The sequence below is a fragment of the Homo sapiens genome, chromosome 15 (genome assembly GCF_000001405.40).
Source record: "Homo sapiens chromosome 15, GRCh38.p14 Primary Assembly".
Classification (NCBI taxonomy): Eukaryota; Metazoa; Chordata; class Mammalia; order Primates; family Hominidae; genus Homo; species Homo sapiens.
The window spans coordinates 75740280-75755573 of NC_000015.10; the positions used below are offsets into that span (position 1 = coordinate 75740280).

Below are 15294 nucleotides of genomic sequence, written 5' to 3' on the forward strand. Positions count from 1 at the left end.
CCTCATCTTGGTTCTGACTCTACTGCCCAGAATTTGCCTCAATTTTCCAAACCAGAAATGAGAAAAAAACATCTGCAGATCCTTTGCTTAAAGACCTGGCCAGAGCTGGTGCCAGGCTGCAGACGCCTGGCAGGAAGCAAGAGAGGGTCACACTCACTTTCTTCTTGTCCTGGGAGGCCCACACACCAACACTGCCACCACTGCTGGCACCAGGGAGCACAGCCAAAGTAGACACACACAGAGAGGAAAAGGGGAGAGGTTGAGTGAACCTGGGACACTGCACCCCAACTCTAAGTCTCCTCTAGACATTGCCACAGTGAAATAGGGGAGAAAAGAGAAGGCAGTCACAGGAAACCACCATCATAGAAAGGGCATGCAAGAAATGCCATCTGTGGCAGAGACGGAGACACAAAACTGCCACTGGAGAAGGATGGGAGGACCAGAAGACTTAACTCTGATCTCACCCCAGAGTAGGTAGTGGGGAGGATTCCTGGTTATTTCTGAGCCAAACAAGGGCTCAGAAACATGGCATGACTTGGCATCACTGTGGATGGTGCCCCAGGGCCCCCCTAGTATCAGCAGCTTGACCCTCCTCTCCTTGCCCTGCCGCTCACCCCAACACACTCAAGGTACACACCAGCCCTCAGAAAGTAGGACTTCCAGCTGTTCACCTCCTCCTGTGTCTCATGAGCCAGCTCCAGCTGCCAATAATCCTTGTAGAGGCCAGGTGCGGTGGCTCACGCCTGTAATCCCAGCACTTTGGGAGGCCAAGGCAGGCGGATCATGAGGTCAGGAGATTGAGACCATCCTGGCTAACACGGTGAAACTCCGTCTCTACTAAAAATACAAAAAATTAGCCGGGCGTGGTGGCCGGCGCCTGTAGTCCCAGCTACTTGGGAGGCTGAGGCAGGAGAATGGTATGAACCTGGGAGGCGGAGGTTGCAGTGAGCCGAGATTGTGCCACTGCACTCCAGCCTGGGTGACAGAGCGAGACTCCATCTCAAAAAGAAAAAAAAATCCTTGTAGACATTCCTGCAAGACAGGGCAGGCAGTGAGGGCAGATGGGCAAAGCCACACCCTCCCTGGGGGTTAAGGGCATGCCTGGACTTTGGGGTCATCACATCTGAGTCAAGTCCTGGCTTGCTCATTTCCCAGCTGTGTGATTCTGGGCAAATCCCTTCCTTTCAGCCTCAGTTTCCTGATTGGGAAAATGGGTTAATAATAATTCCTGCCTTGTTATGGTTTGGCTGTGTCCCTATCCAAATCTCAACTTGAATTGTGTCTCTCAGAATTCCACTTATTGTGGGAGGGACCCAGGGAGAGGTAATTGAATCATGGGGGCTGGTCTTTCCTGTGCTATTCTCATGATAGTGAATAAGTCTTATGAGATCTGATGGGTTGCTTTTGCTTCTCTCATTTTCTCCTGCTGCTGCCAATGTAAGAAGTACCTTTCGCCTCCCACCATGATTCTGAGGCCTCCCCAGCCATGTGGAACTGTAAGTCCAATTAAACCTCTTTTTCTTCCCAGTCTTGGGTATGTTTTCATTGGAAGTGTGAAAATGGACTAATACAATAAATTGGTACCAGTAGAGTGGGGCATTGCTGAAAAGATACCTGAAAATGTGGAAGTAGCTTTGGAACTAGGTAACAGGCAAAGGTTGGAACAATTTGGAGGGCTCAGAAGAAGGCAGAAAAACGTGGGAAAGTTTGGAACTTCCTAGAGACTTGTTGAATGACTTTACCCCGAATGCTGATAGTGATACGGACAATAAGATCCAGGCTAAGGTGGTCTCAGATGGTGACAAGGAACTTGTTGGGAAGTGGAGCAAAGATGATTCTTGTTATGTTTTAGCAAAGAGACTGGTGGCATTTTGCCCCTGCCCTAGAGATTTGTGGAATTTTGAACTTGAGAGAGAAGATTTAGGGTAATCTGGCTGAAGAAATTTCTAAGTAGCAAAGCATTTAAGAGGTGACTTGGGTACTGTTGGCATTCAGTTTTATAAGGGAAGCAGGGCATAAGTTTGGAAAATTTGCAGCCCGACTATGCGATAGAAAAGAAAAACCCATTTTCTGGGGAGAAATTCAAGCCAGCTGCAGAAATTTGCATAAGTAGCAAGGAGCCTAATGTTAATCCCCAAGACCATGGGGAAAATGTCTCCAGGCTATGTCTCCAGACCTTCACAGCAGACCCTTCCATCACAGGCCCAGAGGCCCAGGAGGAAAAAGTGGTTTTGTGGGCCGGGGCCAGGGACCCTGTGCTGTGTGCAGCCTAGGGTTTTGGTGCCGTATGTCCCAGCCACTTAGCCGTGGCTGAAAGGGGCCAACGTACAGCTCAGGCTGTGGCTTCAGAGGGTGGAAGCCCCAAGCCTTGGCAGCTTCCATGTGGTGTTGAGTCTGTGAGTGCATAGAAGTTAAGAATTGAGGTTTGGGAACCTCCACCTAGATTTCAGGAGATGTATGGAAATGCCTGGATGCCCAGGCAAAAGTTTGCTGCCAGGGCCTTCATGGAGAACCTCTGCTAGGGCAGTGCAGAAGGGAAATGTGGGGTCAGAGCCCCCCCCACAGAGTCCCTCCTGGGGCACTGCCTAGTGGAGCTGTGAGAAGAGGACCACTATCCTCCAGACCCCAGAATGATAGATCCACTGACAGCTTGCACCATGTGCCTGGAAAAGCCACAGCACTCAATGCCAGCCTTTGAAAACAGCTGGGAGGGAGGCTGTACCCTGCAAAGCCCCAGGGGTGGAGCTGCCCAAGACCATGGGAACCCAATTCTTGCATCAATGTGACCTGGATGTGAGACAAAGGAGATAATTTTGGTGCTTTAAAATTTGACTGTCCCACTGGATTTTGGACTTGCATGGGCCTTGTAATCCCTTTGTTTTGGTCAGTTTCTCCCATTTGGAACAACTGTATTTACCCAATATCTGTACCCTCATTGTATCTAGGAAGTAACTAGTTTGTTTTTGATTTTTACAAGCTCATAGGCGAAAGAGACTTCCCTTGTCTCAGATGAGACTTTGGACTGTGGACTTTTTGGGTTAATGCTGAAATGAGTTAAGATTTTGGGGGACTGTTGGGAAGGCATGATTGGTTTTGAAATATGAGGACATGAGATTTGGAGGGGCCAGGGGTGGAATGATATGGTTTGGCTGTGTCCCCACCCAAATCTCAACTTGAATTGTATCTCCTAGAATTCCCACATGTTGTGGGAAGGACCCAGGAGGTGGTAACTGAATCATGGGAGCTGGTCTTTCCCGTGCTATTCTCATGATAGTGAACAAGTCTCATGAGATCTGATGAGTTTATTGAGGTTTCTGCTTTTGCTTCTATCTCATTTTCTCCTGCCACCACCATGTTAAGAAGTGCCTTCCGCCTCCCGCCATGATTCTGAGGCCTCCCCAGCCATATGGAGCTATAAGTCCAATTAAACCTCTTTTTCTCCCCAGTCTCAGGTATGTTTTTATGAGCAGTGTGAAAACGGACTAATACATGCCTCCTCAGGTCACTGTGAGGATTTAGTGAAACATTATCCTAAAAAAAATAAGTTAAAAGTCTTGCTTAAATATGACAAGCTTATAAAAATTAACAGAAGCATTATATTAGAATTTCTAAAGTCATTTCCATTGAAATCAAGAATAAGAAAAACATGCTGCTTTCCCCAATGTTAGTCAACATTATTTAAAATGTTTAGCTAATCAAACTGAAAAAAATAAAACAATTGGTATGTATATTATATAAAAAAGGTAAAATTGCATATTTTTGTATATAATAGAGAAGAGAAAATCTAATATTTTAATAAAATACAATAAATAATTTAATAAAATATCTCAAATCAAGATATATGGTACATAAAAATCATTAGCCTTTCTCAATATGAAGAATAACTAGTCATGGATATAAATTTATTTTTTAAATAACACATAAAAGCATTATATATTGCTTAGGAATATATATAAAACCATTATCTATTATTTAGAAATGCAAAAATACATTTAAGAAATGTTTAAATGTCTGGGAATTATACACACTGGCTTCTAGACACTAGTCATATATCTAGAAAGGGGGAAGATGAAAGAATGTCATCATATTCTATAAATATGTCAAAATGTTAAAATCTAGTAAGTATGAGAAGAGGGTACATGTTGCCTGTAATATTTTTTTTATATTTCTCTGTATATTTGAAATATTTAATAATACAATTTTAAATTTGAAATATCTTCTCTAAAGTCATGATAAGGATGGGCGGGGTGGCTCACGCCTGCAATCCCAGCACTTTGGGAGGCCGAGGTGGGTGGATCACCTTAGGTCAGAAGTTCGAGACCAGCTTGACCAATATGGTAAAACCTGTCTCTACTGAAACTACAAAAATTAGCCAGGTGTGGTGGCATGCACCTATAGTCCCAACTACTTGGGAGGCTGAGGCAGGAGAATTGCTTGAACTCGAGAGGCAGAGGTTGCAGTGAGTCGAGATTGTACCACTGCACTGCAGCCTGGGAGACAGAGCAAGACTCCATCTCAAAAAAAAAAAAAATTGGCTGGGCGCGGTGGCTCACGCCTGTAATCCCAGCACTTTGGGAGGCCTAGGCAGGTGGATCACAAGGTCAGGAGATCGAGACCATCCTGGCTAACATGGTGAAACTCCGTATCTAATAAAAATACAAAAAAATTAGCCAGGCATGGTGGCGGGCGCCTGTAGTCCTAGCTACTCGGGAGGCTGAGGCAGGAGAATGGCCATGAACCCGGGAGGTGCAGCTTGCAGTGAGCTGAGATCATGCCACTACACTCCAGCCTGGGTGACAGAGCGAGACTCCATCTCAAGAAAAATAAATAAATAAATAAAAATAAAAATCATGATTAAAAACAATAGGCTGGGCGCGATAGCTCACACCTGAAATCCTAGCACTTTGGGAGGCCAAGGCGGGCAGATTGCCTGAGCTCAGGAGTTTGAAACCAGCCTGGGCAACATGGTGAAACCCCATCTGTACTAAAATACAAACAAACAGACAAACAAAAAATGAAAACAACAACAATAATAATGGCTAAGAATGTTTGTATATGAAGTCATTTTTAAAGACAGAAAACAAGATCTAAGCAAGTGGAGAGACATGCCAGTACTCCAGAAAGGATAGTGTTAATGTTAATTCTTAGAAAAATTAATGTATAACTATGATGCAATTCCCATTAGAATCACAGTGAATTATGTCTTGGTCCATTGTGGCTGCTGTAACAAAATACTATAGACTGGATAGCTACTAAACAACATAAACTGACTTTTCCTAATTTTGAAGGCTGGGAAGTCCAAGATCAAGGCACAGGCAGGTCAGTGTCCAGTGAGAGCCCATTTCATTGTTTATTTACGGTGCCTTCTTGTTATGCCCTCAATGGGGGAAGGGACTAGGAAGCTCCCTTGGGCCTCTTTTATAAGAGGACTAATCCTGTTTATGGGAGCTCTGCCCTCACGACCTAGTTACCTCCCAAAAGCTCTACCTTTTAATACTGTCAACCTTGGGGGTTAGGGTTTCAACACAGGAATTTGGGGAGGGCACGAACATTCAAACCATAGCAAATCATTTTACAAAAACTACATGAAATGAATGTAAAGTTCAAATGAAAAAATAAATGAGTGTCCAAGAATAGGCAAGAAAACTATGAAAATAAAAAATAGAAACAGGGAGAATTGCCCTACCAAATATTAACCTACATTATAAAGTCACTATAATCAAAACAACATTAAAAGATGAATAAAAATGTATCTGTGGATCAGAAATTGATCCCAAAATCAATGTAAGTATATATAAGAACATAAAATATGGACAGGGTACTATTTCAATGCAGTGGGAAAAGGTTAATTTTTTAAATATAAACTGGCCATCAATCTAGAAGAAAACAAAACTAAATCCACTATCTCATGCCATTCACAAAAATAAGGTTCTGACAGTTTAGAAATTTAAATATAAGGAACAAAGAATATGAACATGCAATGCACAGGAGAGAAACATGTGTTTTATAATATTATGAAAATACACTCAGTGTCATTAAAACTCAGGAATAAGCAAGCTGAATAGTTTGTGGTTTTACCAATAACTTGGAATATGATGTAGCTTTAAAAAATATTGATCCAGAGTCTCACTTACTGAGACAGAGAGATGAAAAAAATCACACTGCTTAAGTGTGATTTTTTTTATCAATCATAAAACACACTATACATGAATATAGCAATTTTTATAGGTCTGTACAAGCATAAGGATGTGGACCAAGGTACATCAAGCTATTACCATTATTTATTTATGGTGTGAGGATGGAAGGGACTGGAAGAAAGTTATTAATGAATACTTATTATATATATGTATATATTTCACTTTTTAAAATAAGCAGACTTGCTGATATAATTTAAAAATAATAATTTTAAATATTTAGGCATATTGAGAAAAGAAAACCAAGGGAGGCTTTGCAGACACTGCCACCATCGGGAGCCCTGTACTATCAGCCATGGTTAACCCCACTGTGTTTTTTGACATCGCCGTCGATGGCGAGCCCTTGGGCCACGTCTCCTTCGAGCTGCTTGCAGACAAGTTTCCAAAGACAGCAGAAAACTTTCATGCTCTGAGCACTGGAGAGAAAGGATTTGGTAATAAGGGTTCTTGCTTTCACAGAATTATCAGAGTTTATGTGTCAGGGTGGTGACTTCACATGCCATAATGGCACTGGTGGCAAGTCCATCTATGGGGAGAAATTTGATGATGAGAACTTCATCCTAAAGCATACAGGTCCTGGCATCTTGTCCATGGCAAATGCTGGATCCAATATAAATGGTTCCCAGTTTTTCATCTGCACTGCCAAGACTGAGTGGTGGATGGCAAGCATGTGGTCTTTGGCAAGGTGAAAGAAGGCATGAATATTGTGGAGGCCACGGAGCGCTTTGAGTCCAGGAATGGCAAGACCAGGAAGAAGATCACCATTGCTGACTGTGGACAACTCTAATAAGGTTGACTTGTGTTTTATCTTAACCACCAGACCGTTCCTTCTGTAGCTCAGGACAGCACCCTCCACCCCACTTACTCGCAGTATCCTAGAATCTTTGTGCTCTCGCTGCAGTTCCCTTCCATGCCTAGCTGGACTGCAGAGTTGAGTTTATGATTATGAAATAAAAACTAAATAACCAAAAAAAAAAAAAAAGAAAAACAAGGGAAAAAATGAATTGGACTTATGAGGTATAATGGCTATTATCCTAGAGTGGTGGTAGAAGAAAGGAGAGGATGGAGAGAGATTAAATAAATTAGTTGTTTACTGAAACTTTTTTTTTTGAGATGGAGTCTCACTCTGTCACCCAGGTTGGAGTGCAGTGGTGTGATCTTGGCTCACTGCAAACTCCGCCTCCTGGGTTCAAGCCATTCTCCTGCCTCAGTCTCCTGAGTAGCTGGGACTATAGGCACCTGCCACCATGCCAAACTACTTTTATGTATTTGTATTTTTTTTTTTTTTTTTTGAGACAGAGTCTCGCTCTGTTACCCAGGCTGGAGTACAGTGGCGCGATCTCAGCTCACTGCAAGCTCCGCCTCCCGGGTTCACACCATTCTCCTGCCTCAGCCTCCCAAGTAGCTGGGACTACAGGCGCCCTCCACCACGCCTGGCTAATTTTTTTTGTATTTTTAGTAGAGACGGGGTTTCACCATGTTAGCCAGGATGGTCTCGATCTCCTGACCTCGTGATCTGCCCGCCTCGGCCTCCCAAAGTGCTGGGATTACAGGTGTGAGCCACCGCACCCAGCCACTTTTTTGTATTTTTAGTAGAGACAGGGTTTCACCATGTTGGCCAGGCTGGTCTTGAACTCCTGACCTCAGGTGATCCGCCCACCTCCGCCTCCCAAAGTGCTGGGATTACAGGCATGAGCCACTGCGCCCAGCCTGAAACTTGTCAAGCACAGGCAGAGTTCCTGGGGCCCAGAGGGATACACGAAATATAAGGCACAGACCTTACTCTCTATTGGCATTAAGTCTGATCGTGGATGAAATTAAAACACTTGAAACCATTTATATATAATGACGCAAGCCCCTCCAAAACTGTCAGGTCATAGAATGGATGTATCAGTTTGCTTTACCATTCACCTATTGGGGAGTATTTGGTTGTTTCCAGTTTGGGGCTATTACAAATAAATCTGCCATGAACAATCATGTATGAGTTTTTGTGCAGACATCAGTTTTATTTTCTGGTACAAATGCCCAGAAGCAATTGCTAGGTCATATATTGAGGTGTATGTTTAATTAAAGAAGCTGCCAAACTATTTTCTAGAGTGTCTGTATCATTTTATATTCCCACCAGCGATGTATGAGTTAGTTTTGTCTGCATCCTCGCCATTATTTGATACTATCACTATGCTTGATTTGAGCTGTTCTAATAGATCTGTAGTGATATCTTACTGTGGTTTTAATTTGCATTTCCCCAGTGGTTAGTGTTGAAGATCTATTCCTGTGCTTTAAGTCAATTCATTTTTAAAACCTAAATAAATGTATTTAAAAAGGAAACTTTTGCTTTAGGAGGCCAAGGCAGGTGAATTGCTCAAGCCGAGGAGTTCACGACCAGCCTGAGCAACATGGTGAAGCTCCATCTCTACAAAAAATACAAAAACATCCAGGCAAGGTAGCGTGCACCTATGGTTTCAGCTACTTGGGAAGTGAGGCAGGAGGATTGCTTGAGCCTGGGAGGTCGAGGCTGCCATGAGCCATGATTGCAGGATTGCACCATTATACTACAGCCTGGGTGTCACGGCAAAACCCTGCCTGAAATAAATGAATAAAAGGAAACTTGTGGTTAGTGGTTCTCAGAGTGTGGTCCCTGAGCCAGCAGCATCAGCATCACCATCAGCTGAGAACTTGTTAGAAATGCAGATTCTCAGGCGCCGTCCCAGACCTCCTGAATCAGAACCTCTGAGGCGTGGGTTCAGCGACCTGTGGTTTAACACGCCCTCCCGGTGAGAATCGGTCTCATTCACTACAGATAGAAGGAAATGGTAAAAATCAATTCATCCGCATATCGCCTAAAATCCTCCTGTGGGCCCCAGGTTGCCACAGCACACTTTTGGGCAGGAGCCCCACTCACAGAGGCCGTGACAAGAATGCTCCTGCCCCTGGGGTTGTGCAGTGACAGCTCACACAGCTCCACGTGGCGGTTCTGAGTTTGGGAAGCGCTGATGTAGTCCTACTGCAGCCCTTCCTGCCCTTCACCGGACTGAGGAAATCCAGGCTCTGAGGAGGGCGAGACTTGCCCAAGGTCACCCAGCAACATGGTCAGTCTCCTTTCCCAGGGCCCTCACAATGCGTGGCCTGTTTAAAGCCTGCCTCTATTCACTGCTGAGTGAAAAATCCAGCTCCAAAGTAGAATATGGGGAAGGATACTATCTTGTGCAGCTTATGTTTATAGCTGCAGATACATGGGAAAACAAGTCAGAAAATACTGTTGAAGCAGTTATTTGGGGAGAGAAGGGGTTTGCTGGTTTTTTGTGTTTTTAACTTTTCTATATCTCATAATTTTTATCACAATAATGTTTAGTTACATAATCAAAATGTATTAAATATAATATTAAAAATCGACATGAAGCCTGATCTAGCCACGGTCTATTGTTGGCAGAGTCAGGAAGCCTTCCAGATAGAGCAGGCCCTGCACCTGCCCCAGGTCACACCCTTACCCCATGGTGGCCTCCACATCCATACCCATGAGCATCTCCTGTGGGTGCGGCCCTCCCCTGCATCCAGCCCTGGGCACCCCCAGCCCAGAGGGCACCTCATGGTCTGAGAGTCCACCTGTCTGTCTCTAAAGAGAGGAAAGCTCCTTGGGACATGTGTTCTGCTTGACGCATCACCCCTGGCCTGGTACAGAAAGGTGGACAGTGGGTATTTGGTGAATAAATGAATGAATGATTAGAACAAGTCCCCAAAATGGTGATTTCCTGAGGCCCTTCTCCAGCTTGCCTAGGTGGAACCAGTTCCACTTTTCACAGGAAAGCCAGGTGTCAGGAGTGGGGCAGGTATGTGTGAATGGCCAGGTTCTCGAAGGCTGGATGGATACAGGGCTTATGGCAGGTCTGGGGTTGGCAGTGCTGCTGTGGGAGCCTGTAGGAGGGCTCGTCTTTGGAATCCCCCAGGGTATCCTGGTGCCCTCAGCTGCTGCATGGTGTGAGAAGGCCTGGCTTGTGGGGATGCACAGGGTCTTGTTTGGATTGGCCACCTGGTCCAGCCCAGGGAGCTATGCTTCCTGCCCCTCAGGGAAAACTCACTTTTGATGTGTAACAACAGCTGCAGGCAAGGGGAGGTAGAGGTGTGCTGGGCCTCGGCCTTAGAAGCCAGAAGCCAGTTCATGCCCCTACGTGGGAAAAGGATGATATACGTGGGAAAGGGATGGGGCCTTGGCTAGCTCTAGGGTCCTGGGTTATGGTCAGAACCATATGGACTTATATGAGTCACTTATGGACTCAGTGACTTGGGCTGACCCAGCCCCTCCCTGAACCTCATCAGTGAAACCAGGACGGGGCCAGGGCTCTCGACGCCTCCCAGCTCCAACCTCTGGCTTTCTCCCAGGAGGGCAGGAGATCAGACAGAGGTAACCTGGGCTCCCCTGTTTACGTCAACCTCCTTGTGAAGCCTCCCTCTTTCTGCCTGTGAGGTGGGTGGGGCCAGAAGGAGAGGCATTCACCTGTGGGTCTCTGACTTCTCTGCCCAGGTGTGCCTGGAGAGCCTGGTCTATACCCGGTGCTTTGCTACACCCCACAGCCTGGCCAAAGCCTCCCTGCCTCCAGAGCAGCCCTGGCCCTGGGAAGAAGCTGGTCTCTGCATTGAATGACAGGTAGAAAATTAAAGTGGGGATGATAGCTCTGGAAAGGAGTCAAGGAGGAGGTGCCTTCCCAAGGACACAGAGGGTTTTTCCAGAATGGAACTTGACTGGTGTGGGCAAACATCAGGAGGTGGGAAGGGTGGCTCCCTCTGCGGGAGCTGGGGCAACTTGCCTGGGCCAAATGGTGGTAGGTTGTGGGTAGGGCAGGCAGAGCTGGGGTGCTCAGAGCCTGGGTTCTCTGTCCTTGCAGAGGACTGGAATTCAAAACAAGTGTCCCCTGCCCTGTGGCTGGGGGACATCCTCTACTTCCAAGCCCAGACATACACCAGCTGCCACAAGCCCCTGAGGCTCTTTAGAGGACCAATGGACAGCCACACCCACAATGGGCCAGCCTGCTGGGCCACCTGCACCCTGGTCAGAGCCCATGACTGAGGGGACTCTCTGGGGACAATGGGGGCAGTCCCATGCTGCCCTCTTACAGGTGGATCAGTCCCTGGGATCTGGTGTTGGGCTAGGGTGGGCTGAGGCTGTTCTCTGCCAGGGTGCCTGGTGGACAGCAGGTAGAGCAACTTGTCCTTGGCTTTCCTGGACCCCAGGACACAGCTGAACACTGCACTTTACCCTGGATGCCTTCGGATTCTCAGGGGACCCTGGGAAGGAAGAGGGGGATGCCCCAGCAGGAGGCCAGGGCCCTGGGCTATGCTTGCTCCCCCCAGTCCCTCCAGCAGGCACCTCCTCTCCACATCAACATCACCTGATTCCTGAAGGCCTGGGCTACTGACAAGAGCCCCAAAACCCTCACCAAGGCCTGTTCTTGTATCAGAGCAACTAGTATGAGTTCAGAGCTGAAGGGGCCGGAGAGAAAACTCAGGGCTCTCTAAGAGTTCTCAGCTCCCTACTGTGGTGGGCCCCGTAGAAGTCCCCCCAGAAATCTGCAGCTGCTGTAAGTCACTGGGAGGAAGCTACAGCAGACATGTGTTTCCCAGCCTGGTAGATGCAGAGGGGTGTCCGGGCCCCGAGTGGGAGGCCCAAACACAGCCTTGGATATGGCAGTGCAGGATTCTAGACAGCTCTGGGGCCCTGGGCAAGTCATTTAGCCTCTCAGAACCCCATTCCTGGTCATCATGGGGCTCTTGTGTGGATGTAAAGAACCCCCCTGGCCACTTATGTCCCATCAGTGGAAGCCTAGCATGGGTGGAGACCCCCGAGACTGAACTCAGTGGTGGGATCCAGCCTGCCCAGCTCTCCTATATAGAGCCCAGAGCCAGGAGGATGGGCTTCCTGGAGAAGCAGGCACTCCTGTGGGCTGGAGAGCATGAGCAGGGGTCCCCTTGGGGAGGTGGAAGAGGCTGCGGTCAGTGAAGGCCATAATGAGGCAGAGCTTGGGCAAAAAAGGCATGATGATCAGGGGATCTGAAACCCAACAGAGACTGGACTGAGGACACTGTGGCCACCTCCTCCAGGTGTCGCTCAGGAGGTGGAAGCTGAGCTAGGGCTGGGCCCTTGTCCTGAGTAACGCCTCACCAGTCTTGGAAGGTATACCCAAGGTGGCTTAATGTAAGGGTGCATCTGCGCACTCTTTTTGAGATGGGGTCTTCCTCTGTCATTCAGGCTGCAATTCAGTGGCACAATCATAGCTCACTGCAGCCTCAAACTCCTGGGCTCAAGTGATCCTCCCACCTCAGCCTCACAAAGTATTATAATTATAGGCCTGAGCTATGGAGCCTGGTTTAAAATCTTAATAAATATCTCCTCCTGGTCTGCTTCCCTGGCTGACACACATGCTGGCATCTTGCGCCTAGACAGACATGTCTCTGGACTTGGTTCCATTTGTTCTGTCGGGCTCCTCTCTCTCAATGACCGCACATTACAGTATGTGGCTATTCTTACACATTTCTGTATAGAACTGAGGGTTAGTATATTAACGTCAAAGTTCTACTGGTTTTTCGAGGCTGGGTGGAAAGTTTGGGTTAATTTAGGAGTGGGCATCTTGACAATATAGGCTTTTCTTCCAGGAACGGTGATTCTGGGACGCAGGTTTTGCACATTCTGGTTTATTGCTTGACTCGCTGCCACAGAGGGATGTCACTGCTCCACACGCCATGCCCAAGAGATGTCCCACCTTATCTTTCTAAATCAAGCTGAATGTTTTCAGCTGACAGGATATCACGAGTGCTGCGGGGACTCACTCCCCTCAACCCGAGATGAAGTGAGGCGGAGACTATGGAGCAGATCCGTGCTGAGTGCATTTGCCCTTCCTGACCTGCACTGCTGCTGGCTGGGGCTGTGTCTGAGCTGTCAGAGGGCATTGATTTGGGGATGGGGTGGGGGGCAGTGCTGGAGAGATGCCCCTCACCTTCCTCAGCTCCTCCTGTCCAGCCGACACTTGGCCACCAAGGCCCCTGACTTCCAGGCCCCAGTCACCACTAACAGGGTGCTGCATGGGAACAAAGTGTAGGCCCAGAACCTGGAGTTCAGGTCACTCCTCCTTCCAGTCGAAGCCTCTGCCCCTCCCAGGTGATTCCAGCCTCGTTCCTCCATGGGCCAAATATCCTAAACAAAGGCCTGGACAGGGGGTCTTTATCTGACTGCCCAGAAAACACACGCAGAAAGGCTCTGCATGCCCTCTGTGGCCTGCCAGGGGTAAGAGCCTGCCCGTCAAAATGCACAGTCCTGGTTCTTGCAGGGAGTTGAGGAGCAGAAGAAGAAACAAAGGTCCATCTCATTCTTTCAGCAGGAACCTAAACTTGGGAAAGCCAGACGCAGTACATTTCTTAATCCTGATACTTTTATAACTGGTTATAGCTGGGTCACATGCACAACTGTTTTCCAACATCTTTCAACAGGCCACATAACATCCTGTAACTTCTTTTTTTAAAATTTTTATTTCATAAGGCCAGGGGCAGTGGCTCATGTAATCTCAACACTTTCGGAGGCCGAGGCAGGAAGACTGCTTGAGGCCAGGAGTTCGAGACCAGCCTGGGCAACACAGCAAGACCCCGTATGCAACAGAGAAAAACCCTGTCTCAAAATTTTTTTAGAGTACAGTGGCTTGATCACAGCTCACCGTAGCCTCCAGCTCCCGGGCTCAAGCGATACTCCCATCTCAGCAGCTGGGACTATCAGAGCACACCCCCACATCTGGCTGATTTTTAAATTTTTGGTAGAGATGCGGTCTCACTATGTTGCCCAGGCTGGTCTTGAACTCCTGGCCTCAAGAGATATTCCCAATGCGACCTCACAATGCACTGGGGTTACAGGCATGAGCCACCATGCAGCCCCTGCAAAATCTAACTGTTCTTCAGGTGCTCCTTTTGGACCTCCTAGCTAGACTGCCATTGGCAAATGCCAGTTGATTATCCACCCACATTTATGTTAATGGATTTCCCATGTTTTATTTGTCTAGACCAGGCTTTCTCCACAGCAGCACTGTTGATGTTTAGGGCTGGACAGTTCTCTGTTCTGGAGCTGTTTGCGCCTCGCAGGATGTTTAGCAGCATCCCCAGCCTCCGCCTGCCACATGCCAGCAGCACTCCTCAGTGTGACAGCCAAAGTGATTTCAGATACTGTCAAATATCCCCAGGGCGGCAAAATCACCTCCAGTTGAGAACTGCTGACCTAAAACCCTCTGGAACAATGTTAGATCATGGTAACGATAGCGCATACTGCTCCTGACCTTAATGGGAATACCTCTAGCATCAAAGTATAGTAGTACCTGTATACTACTGTCTGGGCTGTTATTAGTACACTGTATTAGTCCATTCTCATGCTGCTATGAAGAAATACCCAAGACTGGGTAATTTATAAAGAAAAGAGGTTTAAATTGACTCACAGTTCTGCATGGCCGGGGAGGCCTCAGGAAACTTACAATTATGGCAGAAGACACCTCTTGCCAGGGCAGCAGGAGAGAGAAGGAGAGCCGAGCAAAGGGGAAAGCCTGCTATAAAACCATCAGATCTCGTGAGAACTCACTCACTATCACGAGAACAGCGCAGGAGAAACCACCCCCATGATTCAATTATCTCCACCTGGTCCCACCCTTGACATGTGGGGATTATTGCAATTCAAGGTGAGATTTGGATGGGGACACAGAGCTAAACCATATTATATCCTTTATATTAGCATACTGTATCAAAGTATACTTTTCTTTCTTTCTTTTTTTTTTAAATTTGAGACAGAGTCTCGGTCTGGCTCTGGCTGGAGTGCAGTGGCACGATCTCAGCTCATGGCAACTTCTGCCTCCCGGGTTCAAGCAATTCTTGTGCCTCAGCCTCCCAATTAGCTGGAACTACAGGTGTGTGCCACCACACCCAGCTAATTTTGATTTTTTTTGAGTATACATGGGGTTCGACATGTTGGCCAGGCTGGTGTCAAACTCCTGGCCTCAAGTGATACCACCACTTTGGCCTCCCAAAGTGCTGGGATTCCAGGCGTGAGCCACTGCACCCAGCCTGAAGTATAATTTTCACA

General features: G+C 47.2%; 1 pseudogene, besides 1 other annotated feature; it reads left to right on the forward strand.

The window, feature by feature from the left end:
- Positions 6448 to 7160, forward strand: PPIAP47 (peptidylprolyl isomerase A pseudogene 47; annotated as a pseudogene).
- Positions 11095 to 11656: an enhancer, noted in NCBI's record as "H3K27ac-H3K4me1 hESC enhancer chr15:76043715-76044276 (GRCh37/hg19 assembly coordinates)". NCBI's record gives its function as "activates a minimal SCP1, AML or CMV promoter by ChIP-STARR-seq in primed H9 embryonic stem cells {active_cell/tissue: H9 hESC(primed)}" and the evidence as "EXISTENCE:reporter gene assay evidence [ECO:0000049][PMID:30033119]".